The sequence below is a fragment of the Homo sapiens genome, chromosome 2 (genome assembly GCF_000001405.40).
Source record: "Homo sapiens chromosome 2, GRCh38.p14 Primary Assembly".
Classification (NCBI taxonomy): Eukaryota; Metazoa; Chordata; class Mammalia; order Primates; family Hominidae; genus Homo; species Homo sapiens.
Genome location: NC_000002.12, coordinates 123060779 through 123074405, shown reverse-complemented (window position 1 = coordinate 123074405; position 13627 = coordinate 123060779). Strand labels below are relative to the sequence as shown.

Here is a 13627-nt window from a genome sequence, read left to right as displayed (position 1 = left end):
AGCTTCTGAGACAGGCAACACCTTTCTTATGCACAGTTGCCCACTTTAATTGGATTATATTGTGAAGCAATTTATACCCCCAGAGCATTGTCATAAAATAAATAAATAAATAAATAAACAAACAAACAAACAAGCAATCAGCTGGCAAAGAACAGAGGCTGTTAGCTGGATACAATACTAAAAGAGGAAGCCCAGCTAAAAGCTTAAGGGACTCTTCAGTAAGATACACTTAAAAAGAGGCTGGCTAAGACCACAGCCATCTCTGATGGTCAGACAGAATGTGCACAAAATGCCCAAGTGGGGCCCTCTAAGGAGTGACATCAGAAACCACACACTGCCAGAGGAAAATAGCTCATGGAACTAATTCAGCCAGATCACTAACCAAATAATAACAAGCCCTTGACAGAGAGATGGGCTGCTGGTGGGTCAACCTGATTTCCAGATTGGCTACAATCTGTTATCTAATATGTCCAATTTTTAACAGAAAAGAGGCATACAAAGAAACAGGAAAATGTAACTCATACATAGAAAGAAAAAAGCATGCTAGAAACTTTCTTTAGAGTACCCAGATGTAGGATTTAGCAGACAAAGATGTCAAAGAAGCTATGATACCTATATTCAAAGAACAATATGAAGCCATGTTTAATGAATTAAATGAAAGTGATAGCAATGTCTCATAAAATAGAGAACAGCAATAAAGAGATAGAAATAACAGAAGGAGCCAGGCAGAAATTCTAGAGTAGAAAGTGCAAGAACCAAAATGAAACATTCACTGGCGGGGCTGAACAGTAGGTTTTAGCTGGCAGAAGCATGAATCAGTGAATTTGTAGACACAGACATAGAGATTATGCAATCTGAAAAACAGGAAAAAGAACAAATGAGGAAGCATAAACACAGCCTCAGAGAAATTTGAAATACCACTAAGTGCACCAACATATGTATAATGTAAGCATCAAAAGGAGAGGAAAGAGACAAAATCAAAAATATATTTGAATAAATAATGGCTAAAAACATATGCATTTTGAAAAATATCATTAATCTTCACATCCAAAAAGCTCAATAAACTCTAAGGAGGAAATGCAACGAGCTCTTCAGCTGGACATACTGTAGTCAAAATGTTGAAAGAAAAAATCGTGTGAAAGCAGCAAAAGAGGAAAACACTCATCCTGTACCTGAACGCTAAGAACAACAGAACGTAAGACTGACAGTTGACTTATCATAATGATATCCTTCTTTCCCATTGAAAAAATGTAGGTAAGTAACGACAATAATTATTTATTTAAAATTATAAGGCAATTCAACATAAAGGTATACTTCCAAGTGATAGAGACTGCAAAATTGTTTGATAACAGTCCCTTAGTGTCTTTTTATTTTTTACTTTATTTTTTTTTTTATTTTTTTTTTTTGAGATGGAGTCTCGCTCTGTCGCCCAGGCTGGACTGCGGACTGCAGTGGCGCAATCTCGGCTCACTGCAAGCTCCGCTTCCCGGGTTCACGCCATTCTCCTGCCTCAGCCTCCCGAGTAGCTGGGACTACAGGCACCCGCCACCACACCTGGCTAATTTTTTGTATTTTTAGTAGAGACGGGGTTTCACCTTGTTAGCCAGGATGGTCTCGATCTCCTGACCTCATGATCCACCCGCCTCGGCCTCCCAAAGTGCTGGGATTACAGGCGTGAGCCACCGCGCCCGGCCTATTTTTTACTTTTACCAAATGATATACATGTAATCTTAATATATAAATCATAGATCTTGATTTATAAGAGCTTTTATTTTTTAATTCATGTAGGAAATGGAAGATGGCAGTAAAAATATTCATACTGCAAGGTAGCATATGTGAAGTACTAAGTAACATAAGTGTTGGTATAGAAAATATTACTTAATTTACCTTGTAGCAGACTTTGTACGTATGACTGCGTCTCATGGCCACTAAGATCTTATTGAGATAACAAAAAATAATTAAAAACTTTTAAAATCACACAGGAGGTTTAATGGGAAGGTAGTCCTTCAGTAGATGACGCATTTCAACAATATTTTGAAACAAAAGGCCCAGTTGATTAACATGTTGGATTATGGCTGAGGATGTAGCTGAACTATCCTATGTAAATGGAAATATGGGCTATGGGTTTTGGAATCCAGATTAAATACATTCTTCTTCTGACAATTCCAGGATCACTGTACTCATCCACTAGTGCGAAGCTAATCAGCCTATATGCTGGGTTATATCTGCAACTCCTTGGCCTACTTGCTTTTCCCTCATTATAATATAAGTGAACATACAAGGTTCAACATGTATTTGAAAGTCATCACTAAATAGAAAATGCTAAGGTAAAGAAGGTAAGATTTTTACCAGAGGACAGAGAATAATTTGAGAGAACAAGAGTTAGATCAGGCAAAGGATTTTTAGGAAGGCTGAACTATTATGTATAATACTATAATTGTAGATATATGACATTATGCATTTGTCAATACTCATTGAACTGAATAGCACATGGAGGGAAATCTGTGTCAAAACGTTTCAGCTGAACACAAACTAAAAGAATAGACACTTCAGTGAGCACACTGAACAAGGAATAGTCTTTCAGCTGAACACAAACTAAAAGAATGGACACTTCAGTGAGCACACTGAACAAGGAATAGTCTTGCAAATAAAATAGTTTGGAAAATAAAATAAATGTAAAAGAAACAGAATATGAGAGGGAAAAAAAGAGACGCAAAGATCAGGAATGATTCCAGCATAGGAAATTAGAGGACGAAACAACAAAGAAGGCACTGAGGAAAAATCACTATGTAGCTGTAATAATTCCTATGTGGTTATAATAACACACACATAACAAAAATGGCTGTGTGACTATAGGAAGCATTTCCTTAATTGGAAAAAGATATAATCCTTGAGACAGAATGGATAATGAATACGCATGAAGGTAAATGATTTTTTAAAAATTATCACTTAAACATATTGTTAGGAAATACAATTGAGTTTTAAACAAAATGTGTTTGAGCTGTGTGAGTCCACTTATATGTGGATTTCCTTCTTCCTCTGCCACTCCGAGACAGCAAGACCAATCTCTCCTCTTCTTCCTCCTCCTGAGCCTACTCAATTTGAAAAACTTTATGAAGATCTACTTATATTTTGTCAATAGTAAATGTATTTTCTTTTCCTTATGATCCTCCTGAGAACATTTTCTTTTCTCTACCTTACTTTAAGAATACAGTATATAATAGAGATTACATACAAAATATGTGTTAACTGACTATTTTATTGGTGGCAAGGCTTCCAGTCAACAGTAAGCTATTAGTAGATAAGTTTTGGGGGAGTCAAAATTTATATGTAGATTTTAGAATGTGAGGGGTTGGCACCCATAAACCCTATATTACAAGTTTCAACTGTATAACACAATAAAATAATATCTTTAAAGTGTCCAGGATGAGAGAAGAATGAGAATTATTTTGCTATAAGATGTTTTGTCAATAACATTGAAAGCTAAAGTGCACAAAAAATAAAATCCATAGATGATTGTAAAACGCATGAGTACTGACTCATGAATCTATTAGACTATAATATGAACATTATTTATATAATATTAATAATAAATCACTACTAAATGATTTTCATCTGTTAGAAACAAAATATAGAAAAAATACAGAAAACTTTATGGTTACAGAGCAGACTATAGTGACATCCTTATATTATGAAAATGCAGCCCACAAAAGTCAACAGGTAGTAGTAGAGAACGAATGGGCTTTAGATAATTTAAGATATTAATATATGCCAATGTGTAAAAGAAGTTGAGACATAAAATTGATGGAATAAGAAATATAGGCTTAAGTATATATGTGTCCAATCTCCATGAATAGGTGTGTGTTATGTTATGAAGGTAGCTAAAAGAAAAACAAGGTAGAGATATAAGTATACATTTGCAAACTGAGGAAAAGGAGACAACATTTTAGCAAGTTATATTTTCGAATTTCATTTAAAAATCTGTATAATTATTGAAGTTCATGAAGAAAAAAATGAAGGTACAAATTATATTATTTGCAGTTGATGAGAAGTGTCTGCTTCCATTGCCCGTGAATCCCTAACAGAATGGTGCCAGGCTCCACCAGGAGACCTTCCTGAGTCCCATCTGAAAGCCTCCACCTGAATGCGTCCCTCATTTTAATGACCCAGCCAGGCTACCTCTGAAGAGAAGGGCAGTTCTCAGCAGCCTGAGGGGTGCTGGTAGAGACATACCAAAAGGTAAGAGGAATTAGAAGAAAGTGGTCCCCAGCTGTGTTTGTGTCTCATAACCTATACAGATGCTTCTCAAATGTGTTTCCCCTGCTTTTTCAGTCCAGAAATTTCAAGTTACCTGTCTTGATGAGCAAATGGCAACTAAGGTCTTAGAAACTTGCCTAGCAATTTGACAGTGATAGTTTTGTTTGTTGAATATAATAATTAAGTGTTTGGTTTGTAATTTTTATTTTTTATTTCATTTTTTTGGTACTATATTGCACAAAATAGCACCAGTCTGAAATACATTGGAGCAGGGAGAGATCTATCCCTTCACATCGGCTGCTTGAAAACTCATGGTCTGCAGCTTTTAACCGCCATGTCTGTTTTCTGTCTATTTCAAATTCAAATCACTAGTGCCTAGCACAAGGGCTGTCATATTTGTGACTCAAGTAATATTTTTGAGTGAGTGAATGGAGAAGTGCCTCAAACATAATAAAATTAATAACTATTTATTGAGTGTTCAAAAATAAAAATTGGCCTCCTCTAAGGATCCTGACTGGAAGAACAGATGGATGAACAAGGGGACTACCTCTCATTATGGGCCCTTATTATCACTTAATTTTTACCACTTAAATGTGAGCAAGAATAACTATTTTAAATGTAGAAGGTAATTCCTCTGAAGGTAGAGATGAGGAGTTTGACCTGAGACTGCAGGAGGATGACATGGTTCACGATGACATGGTTGTAGCTATAGTTACTTACCCTAACTCCTGGTATTTCAAAATAGGAGGGGAGGTAGAGTTTTTTGACTGCGATGTCCTTTTTAGAAAAGGGTATAATGAATACATAGGAAGGAATGATGATTACAATTCAATTTAGGCATCCCATAAAAATTAACTGAGAAAAGCTGACAATAATAATTTGTATTTTAAACATATGTTTTTTCCCTTCCTTTCATACAATAAAAGTAGCACTCAATAAAGTTCCAGGGTTGTCTATACATATATCTTTCAGCCTAAGAATAGTATCAAATAATATTAGAAACATTGGTAAACTAAAATAATTCTGTTGTATCTATGAGCAACTCAAGGGCAGGCTCTGTGCCTTTTCCCTTTCATTTTACTCTGTCAGTACTAACATTTCAGAAATGGAAACTTTCTTCAAACACCAACTGTGCGCAAATCTAGAAAGAAGAAAATGGCAGCCTCCTTTCCTCTCTGTGTTACCATGAGACACTCCAAAATCGTCCACAGTGGTTTTGTATTTTCAAACAAAGGGAGAATTGCCCTGTTCTCCGAAGAATATGAAGGCAGGTCATTCAAGGAGCCCCTTATTTATTCAGAATCCTTCACAAAAGGATTGAATGAAATAGTATGGAGCTGTGTTTGCTGTCTGCTGTTGCTAGCCTTGCGATTTTGGAAGATAGGTGTCAAATGCTTACCCTGTGCAGAATCGTAAGGGGCTCACTAAAGTGAAAAAGAATAAAGCTATGAAATCGTCTGTTTTGGAACCTGTTTTCAACCATCACTAACAAGATGAGAATCATTAGAAGAAGTAGAAAACTACCTTATAAAAGAAAATACCAATTATTTTGCAGTGAAGGATTCCAAACCATTATAAACAGACCATAGAAATGTAAATTGGAAGATGCTGAACACAGGACTTTTCAGGCTCATTTCAATTTACCATTTTACCTTCTTTCCCTATTTTATGACACCCAGGAAAAAATTGCCTCTACTTTAAAAATTATTGTATTATACAGATATGCAACATGAAAAATGTTAATTCTTCAGGGATACTTTCCCCTAGGCCTTCAATTTGATTTTGAGATTGATGAAGTGAATGACAGTATTTCATTACTGAAACCCCCCTAGGAAAGTACTTCAGCTTGCCTAGTAAATTGTGAATGTCATGTTGATTTTATTACTCCACTAAAGGATGGTATTGACTCCTTGTGAAAATTGGGAATGGGGGTGAAATAAACCACAAAATGTCTGTCCTTAATCTTCTCTCTTCTCAGTGTAAGAAAGCAAGAAAAAACTAATACGTTCACCCTGTGGTTGTAGCTGTAGTTACTTACCCTAACTCCTGGTACTTAAAAATACTCACGCACAAGCATGGCTAAATAATAAAATAAAATTACAGTTACTCCTATAAAATTTCTAAAAGTACCTTTGTATCTTACTATATTTGATAATTTATTTCATTCATAAATTATATCGCAGAGGGAGTTTTTATTTATTACTGAAAGATAGGCGAGATCAAGCAACATGACCAAGGCCAGCAAATTGATAAGGAGAGAAATTATTGCATTTGAAATCCACCTTCTAACTCTACACCCTAGCTTCTTACCAAAAGAAATCAAGATAAACCCCTGAAAGTTAAGCTTCCTTGTAAGGGTCACTCATAGGAAAGTTTGCAATTTGCAGGATGAGTCCACTATAGATGTTTCCCTTGTTGTACTGAGTATTCAGTTTTATGTTCTAGCAGTGTTTCTGTCCTTTGTATATTTAAAAGATTGTGCGCCACACTTATCTCCACTCAGAAGGAGTAGAACATTTCAGACCCCTGGATTTATTTCAAGCATGTCTTCCCTCCCCAATATCTCCCACCTGGACTTCGAGTCGATGCGCTCACCTCATTGTTACACATTCAGTCCAACCCTAGTTCCTTACGTGACACTTACCTGAGATAGAAACTTATCAACAATCTCAACTCTACTTTCTGGATGGGTAAGACTTAGCACTTATATCACATTTTGGATACCCTGTCCAAGTTAAAACCACTACCATATTGACATCTTAAGGTCTCAAGCATATTCAGAAGTGTACACATGTTCTCTGAGGTCATTGTCAGTGGTTCTCCATGTATTTCACTCAGACCAGCAGCATCAGCATCAGTGGTGAACTTAATAGAAACACAGATTCTTGAGCCTTCCCCAGACTTCAGAAACTCTGGAATTGGGGCTCAGTGACTTCTGTGTTAACAAGTCCCCAAGTAATTCTGATTAACAAAATTTGAAATTAAATTTTCTCTTCTATTCTTTATTGGATTAATCTGTGGGACTGGGTTTTAACTTTTCTCCCTACTCATAGTCTTCTCTTGAATCAACTAAGCAGCCTGTGGGATAGATTAAAAGAAAACACAGATGTTAAAATCAGAGGAACATAATTTTAAAGTGCCTCATATATTGCTCTTATTTCTCAGTATGAGTTCTGAAAGGTTGGAGTCACAATATATAGGCATATAGATGCACTTATTAACACATAAACAGCAAGCATTCAATATGCAGTCATTCTATAAATGATGGCCAGCGTTCAGTTCTACTCTGAAAGGTAATCATTTAAAAAGAGCAAAATAAAATAAATCATGCTGCTATAAAGACACATGCACATGTATGTTTATTGCAGCATTATTCACAATAGCAAAGACTTGGAACCAACCCAAATGTCCAACAATGATAGACTGGATTAAGAAAATGTGGCACATATACACCATGGAATACTATGCAGCCATAAAAAAGGATGAGTTCATGTCCTTTGTAGGGACATGGATGAAATTGGAAATCATCATTCTCAGTAAACTATTGCAAGAACAAAAAACCAAACACCACATATTCTCACTCATAGGTGGGAATTGAACAATGAGATCACATGGACACAGGAAGGGGAATATCACACTCCGGGGACTGTGGTGGGGTGGGGGGAGGGGGGAGGGATAGCATTGGGAGATATACCTAATGCTAGATGACGAGTTAGTGGGTGCAGCGCACCAGCATGGCACATGTATACATATGTAACTAACCTGCACAATGTGCACATGTACCCTAAAACTTAAAGTATAATAAAAAATAAAATAAAATTAAATTAAATTAAAAAAGCAAAATAAAAAGTGTCCTTATGACAAATGCTTATGTGTGAATAGAAATATCACTGCGTTTGTATGTAATCTCTGGCCTTTAATATATCTCTTCTTGTTTACCAGTGTTGTTGGTGCCACCTTTTTGCAAGAGATGAAGAGAAAGTTCCCCTGCAGGCACTGTTAGATCATTGTACCATGAACAGCAATCTGAGCGTTTGGCCACTAAGAATGTTCACCAAAGGGATTTATATACTTTTCTCTGATATTTGTGGACATCTATTTCCTTGAGAAAATGGTGACTTATAAAATTGGCCTTGATACTGGGTTAGCAAATACTTAAATCGATACAATTTAGGATATACTTGTTATCTGTACATTGGAATGGAAAGATACAAGCACACATACACATAGGTGAGCCAGACAGGAATCTGATACCTTACATCCATGTGATTGAATATAAGACAAAGGACGGAATGCATTTGTTCTTTAAAATAGAACAAGAACTGAAATTTAAATTGCAGTAAGCATTACTCAAGTTATATTGGAGGAAGAACTGAAATCATCATCCTCATCATTACATTGGGAAATTAGAAAACATGTCAGAGCAACTTCAATATCATCCTAGTTAGTTTCTTCATTTTACAAATGAGGAAACAGACCAAGAAAGGCGGGATAAATATCAAGAGAGTGGCAGCGTATTCTGCTTTTTAATCTTGGCCTGTCTTCTTTTAAATATCTGCCCCATTCTTAGATTCTGTATTAGTTTCCTAGGAATGACATAATAAATTACTACAAATTTGGTGGCTTAATACAATATACATTTATTCTCTCATAGTTCTGAAGGTGAGAAGTCAAACAACCTGTTGGCATCCCTCAGAAGACTCCAGTGGAGAATCTTTCCTTGCCTCTTCCAGCTTCTGATGGCTCCAGATATTCCTTGGCAGCATAACTCCAATCTCTGTCTATGTCTTCACATGGCATTCTCCTTAACATCTGTGCCTTCTCATCTTCTCTCAAAAAAATGGAAAAAAAAAGTAAAGTTGTTGCTACAGCTGCACCAGCAGGCATAAAAAAATGCAGTTTTTGCAAAATGACTTTTATCTTGTATTGAAAATGTAGCTTTTATATGGGTCCCGGGTTACTATAACAAATGCATATATATTAGACTTCAATTTGAGAAAAAGTAAAGTTATTATATGATGAACCAAAAGACAGGTGAAAACCCTATAGCTAGATAATTTAATGCCAGCAAAGGATGGTTTGATAATTTTAGAAAGAGGCTTCGATTAAAAAATGGCAAGATAATAGGAGAAATCATTCTACTAAACAGGAGGCAGCAGACGAGTTCCCAGACAACATTAAGAAAGTCATTGAAAATAGATACACATCTGCCTGAACAGATTTATAGTGCAGACAAAAGTGCTGTATTCTGGGGGGAAAAAATGCCCCAAGAGACATTTATCAGTAAGGAAGAGAAGTGAGCACCAGGATTTAAGTCAGGAAGGGATAAGCTAACTATTGTGCAAATGCTGTTAGGTTTATGATGAGGACTGCCTTTAACTATAAAGCAGTTAATTCCTGAGCCTTAAAGTAAAAAGATAAACACCAGCTGTCAGTCTTTTCATTGTACAACAAGAAGGCTTTGGCAATGAGAATCCTTTTTCTGGATTGATTCCATTGATGCTTTGTCCCTGAAGTCAGAAAGTATCTTACTAGTAAGGCAGTGCCCTTTAAATTTCTTTTGATATTGAACAATGCCCGTGGCCAACCAGAACTCTGATTTCAGCACCAAAGACATTAAAGTGATCTATTTGCCCCAAACACAACATCTATAATTCAGCCTGTAGATCAGGCAGTCCTAAGGACCATTAAGGCTCATTACATGTGGTACCCAATGGAAAGAATTGTCAGTATTATGGAAGAGAACCCTGATGAAGAGAATATCATGAAAGTCTGATAGGATTAATGAATTGAAAATACCATCTTTGTTATATTTTTTTAAAAAGCTGTGAAAGCCATCAAGTCTGAAAAAGCAAATTACTGCTGGAGAAAACCGTCCATGTGTTATGCATGACTTCACAGGATTTATGACTAAGCCAATCAAGGAACTCATGAAAGAGATTGTGGATATGACAAAAAGGTGAAGGGGGAGATGATTAAATGTTTTAAGATAAGGATCGTGGAGAAATTTGAGGATTAATAGACACCACACAAAAGGAATTAACAGAAGACTTGATGACGACTGCTTTCGAATCAGTGCCAGATGATGAGGAAGAAGATGTAGAATAAGCAATGCTAGAAAACAAATTAACATGAGATAATTCGGCACAAGGCTTCTGACTTTTGACTTCTCTTATGACATGGACCCTTGTATGATGTGGGTACTGAAATTAAAGGAAACAGTGAAAGAATTAGTACCATATAGAAATATTTTTAGAGAAATGAAAAAGCAAAAAGGTTAGATAAAAGTTGTGATATATTTTCATAAAGTTACACAGAGTGTACCTGCCTCTCCTGCCTCCCCTTTCACCTTCTCCACCTCCTCCATCTCTTCTGTCTCTTTAGAAGGCAGAGACAGCAAGACCAACCTCTCCTTTTCCTCCTCCTCCTCAGCCTACTCAACGTGAAGACGATGTGGATGAAGACGTTTATGATGATCTGCTTCCACTTAATAATAAATATATTTTATCTTCTTTATGATTTTAAACATTTCCTTTTTTCTGGATTTCTTTAGTGTAAGAATATGGTATATAACATGTATAATACAAAATATGTGTTAACCAACAGTTTGTTAACCATGAGGCTTTTGTTCAACAATAGGCTATTAGTAGTTAAGTTTTAGGGTAGTCAAAAGTTATACTCAGAATTTTTATTTTGCAGGGTGTTGGCTCACCTAACTTCCTCATTGTTCAAGATTCAAATACACATCTTGTCTGCTTCTATTCGCATGATGTTCTAGGAAAGTTGAAACTAATCTGTGACTTTAAGAAATCAGAATAGTTGTTTATCTGTGGAGAGAAGGAGGTCTCTCTGTGTGATTTCTCCTGATCTTTCACTTATAGCACTTTTATAGACACTGGTCTATAATCAGCTACTAACTAGCTCTCCCTGCTCTTGCCTCTTACTTAACTTCCAATTCCCAGGAATTTCATCAAGCCCTGGTGCAGGGTTGCTAACAAATTAGTTTATGGAACCAAATTGAAGATCTGGTCTCATCAGGTTTGGCAGCAGCATTTCCAAAAAATAATTTTTCAGGTTTTCATCACTCTTTTCTTAGCAAAAAGAAGACATGAGAAGTCTTTGTACTTGAGGCATATCTCTGTTTCTCCATTAATATCAGTTATTTATTAAGAACCATCTTAGAGGGCATGTCCTTTTCACAATGTAAACTTTCTAACTAGATGTGAAAATAAAAACCCAGAGAAAACTCACTTAACTACTGCAGTAATGGAAAAAGCATAAAATTCAGGACATAAAAAATCCTGAAATATTTAATGATTTCCTAGCAATTCTCTTGCTTCAAATATAGCCTTTGAAATAAAATTTTAATTTTTCTAAAATAAAAGATATGCTTGTATAAAAGGCTAGAAAAGATAGAAAAAGATGCCAGTCTTAGTAAATGTATAAAACAAAGACTTTGAAAATCATAGAAAGTTATAAACCTCTTTAAAAATACAGAGTACCTCCTGAAAAAAGGATTCCAAAGTTTCCGCTATCTTTTAGGTGTTATCATAATAAAGAAATAAAAGAGCAAAAAAAAAAAAAGATATTGCTTTACATTCTCAGTTAGAATTTATTTAGAGAGAAATGCTGATTTGCCACCTTCTTTCAAGTGATGAAAAAAGATGAATGTTAATTTGCTAAGAAGACATATAGAAAGGCCAGAAATAGCCATGTAGAAAACAATGATGAGAAAATATGACAGGACACTGCACTCGGGAATGGAAATGTAAAACACATCATGTGTTTCATAATTTTAACAGTCTGGCCAAGGCGACGGTTTCTGGGCCATTGGTTAGGCAAATGTTAGCATTTTGTTCCTTTATTTCTTTATACTTTTCTGAAGATTCAGTTCAGGAACACACAACTATTAAATATCAAGACACGGCTAAAAATAATTAAAAAAATAGAGTCCAGAGTGACAAATGAGCAAATCATAAATGTTCACTTGTTTGTGCAGAACCCATCAAAGTCCATTTATTTTCAAATTACCCTTTAAGGTTATTTCTTTTCAGTTCTTTTTTTCTTTCTCTCTAGAAGATATTTCTAAACAATATAAGGGAGAAAACACCAAAATTTGTAGTATACTTGATCTAATCTGTGCTTTTTTTAATAATCACTCTGAATTGACACTTTGAGTCCATTTTTTTCTCCTGTTGGTATCATATGAGTAAATGGAATCATGTGAGTAAATGGAATCTAAACTCTAAATTCAAAAATCATTAGGAATACCAGCTCTGGGGCTTTCTCTGACCCAATCTTCCTTTTGAGGTTGGATCACAGCTGCAAATGATTGACAGGCAGACAACAACAAAGCTGCAGGCACCCTCCTCTCTCTCGCTTGCCTGTGTGTTAGCTTTGGGCTGCACCTTCTCAAATGAATGGGGAAGCTCTTGATCTCACATCTCTTTCAACACTTCGCCTTGGTTGGAATTCAAGAAGCCTGCAGAGTTACTTAGAGGAGAATATAAGTTTTCCTGGGGTCTTTCAAAAGCATCAATTCAAAAGGCCTAAATCAACAGCAACAATAACAACAACAAAAATGCTTCACTTTCTATTGAAGGGAGAAGCTCAGCTAAAAGGCCTGTTCCCATAGAGGGTTCCTTTTCTCTTTACATAGGTAGAAGCCGCTTAAAAGCAAGAAGTCAGAAGGAAACCCCAACTGCCAGGAGAATCTCAGAAACAGCCATAAAAAGCGTTGTCAGAGTTCACTTATAAACTAAATACTTTTATATCTGTGCTTTGTGTCTGATTGTTACAAATATGCCAGTTATTTAAGTAGTGCCATCTAATATAAAATACAATCTTTGTAGGTGATAATATTTTAGTATTATAAGTGTTATAATTTGTTGCAATTTTTAGTGCTTAAAGCTATTGGCAACTCATTAATATAAAAGCTAGTCACACAGGCCTGCATTTAATATTAGACAAAAAGTTATAAAATACATATTTTATCTATCAAAACACTGTGTAAAGTGGACATCCCTAGGCATACGAGATCTATACCCCTGTGTGAGAGCAAGACCTACTGAAAATAACTGAAAATGGTTATAATGGTGTCCCAAAATCCAAGTAGCGTGTTGACACTTCCTTAAGTGCACCCTCCCACACCTCCTATCTTCTGTATGTACCCATTTCTAGCTCCTTTGAATATTTCTAGAGGCCCTCTTCACTTGATATGAAGTGAGCATGCATAAATTTCAGTTACCACAGTTTAGTTTAACACCACCAGTCCCCACCCACATGGTTCAAATTGCAATTACTGTAATATATTGACACTGAGTAATTGCATGAAGTACAAACTTCCCTGCTCACTCTTCGATGCACACAT

The 13627-nt window shown here is 35.8% G+C and overlaps 1 long non-coding RNA gene across 1 annotated transcript; it reads left to right on the top strand.

Moving 5' to 3' along the window:
* Positions 1-924: 924 nt before the first annotated feature.
* On the top strand, positions 925-8250 carry LINC01826 (long intergenic non-protein coding RNA 1826). Its single transcript, NR_147208.1, has 3 exons — positions 925-1254; positions 4042-4239; positions 8200-8250. It is a non-coding gene; the product is annotated as a long intergenic non-protein coding RNA 1826 (long non-coding RNA).
* The last annotated feature ends 5377 nt before the right edge of the window (positions 8251-13627 follow it).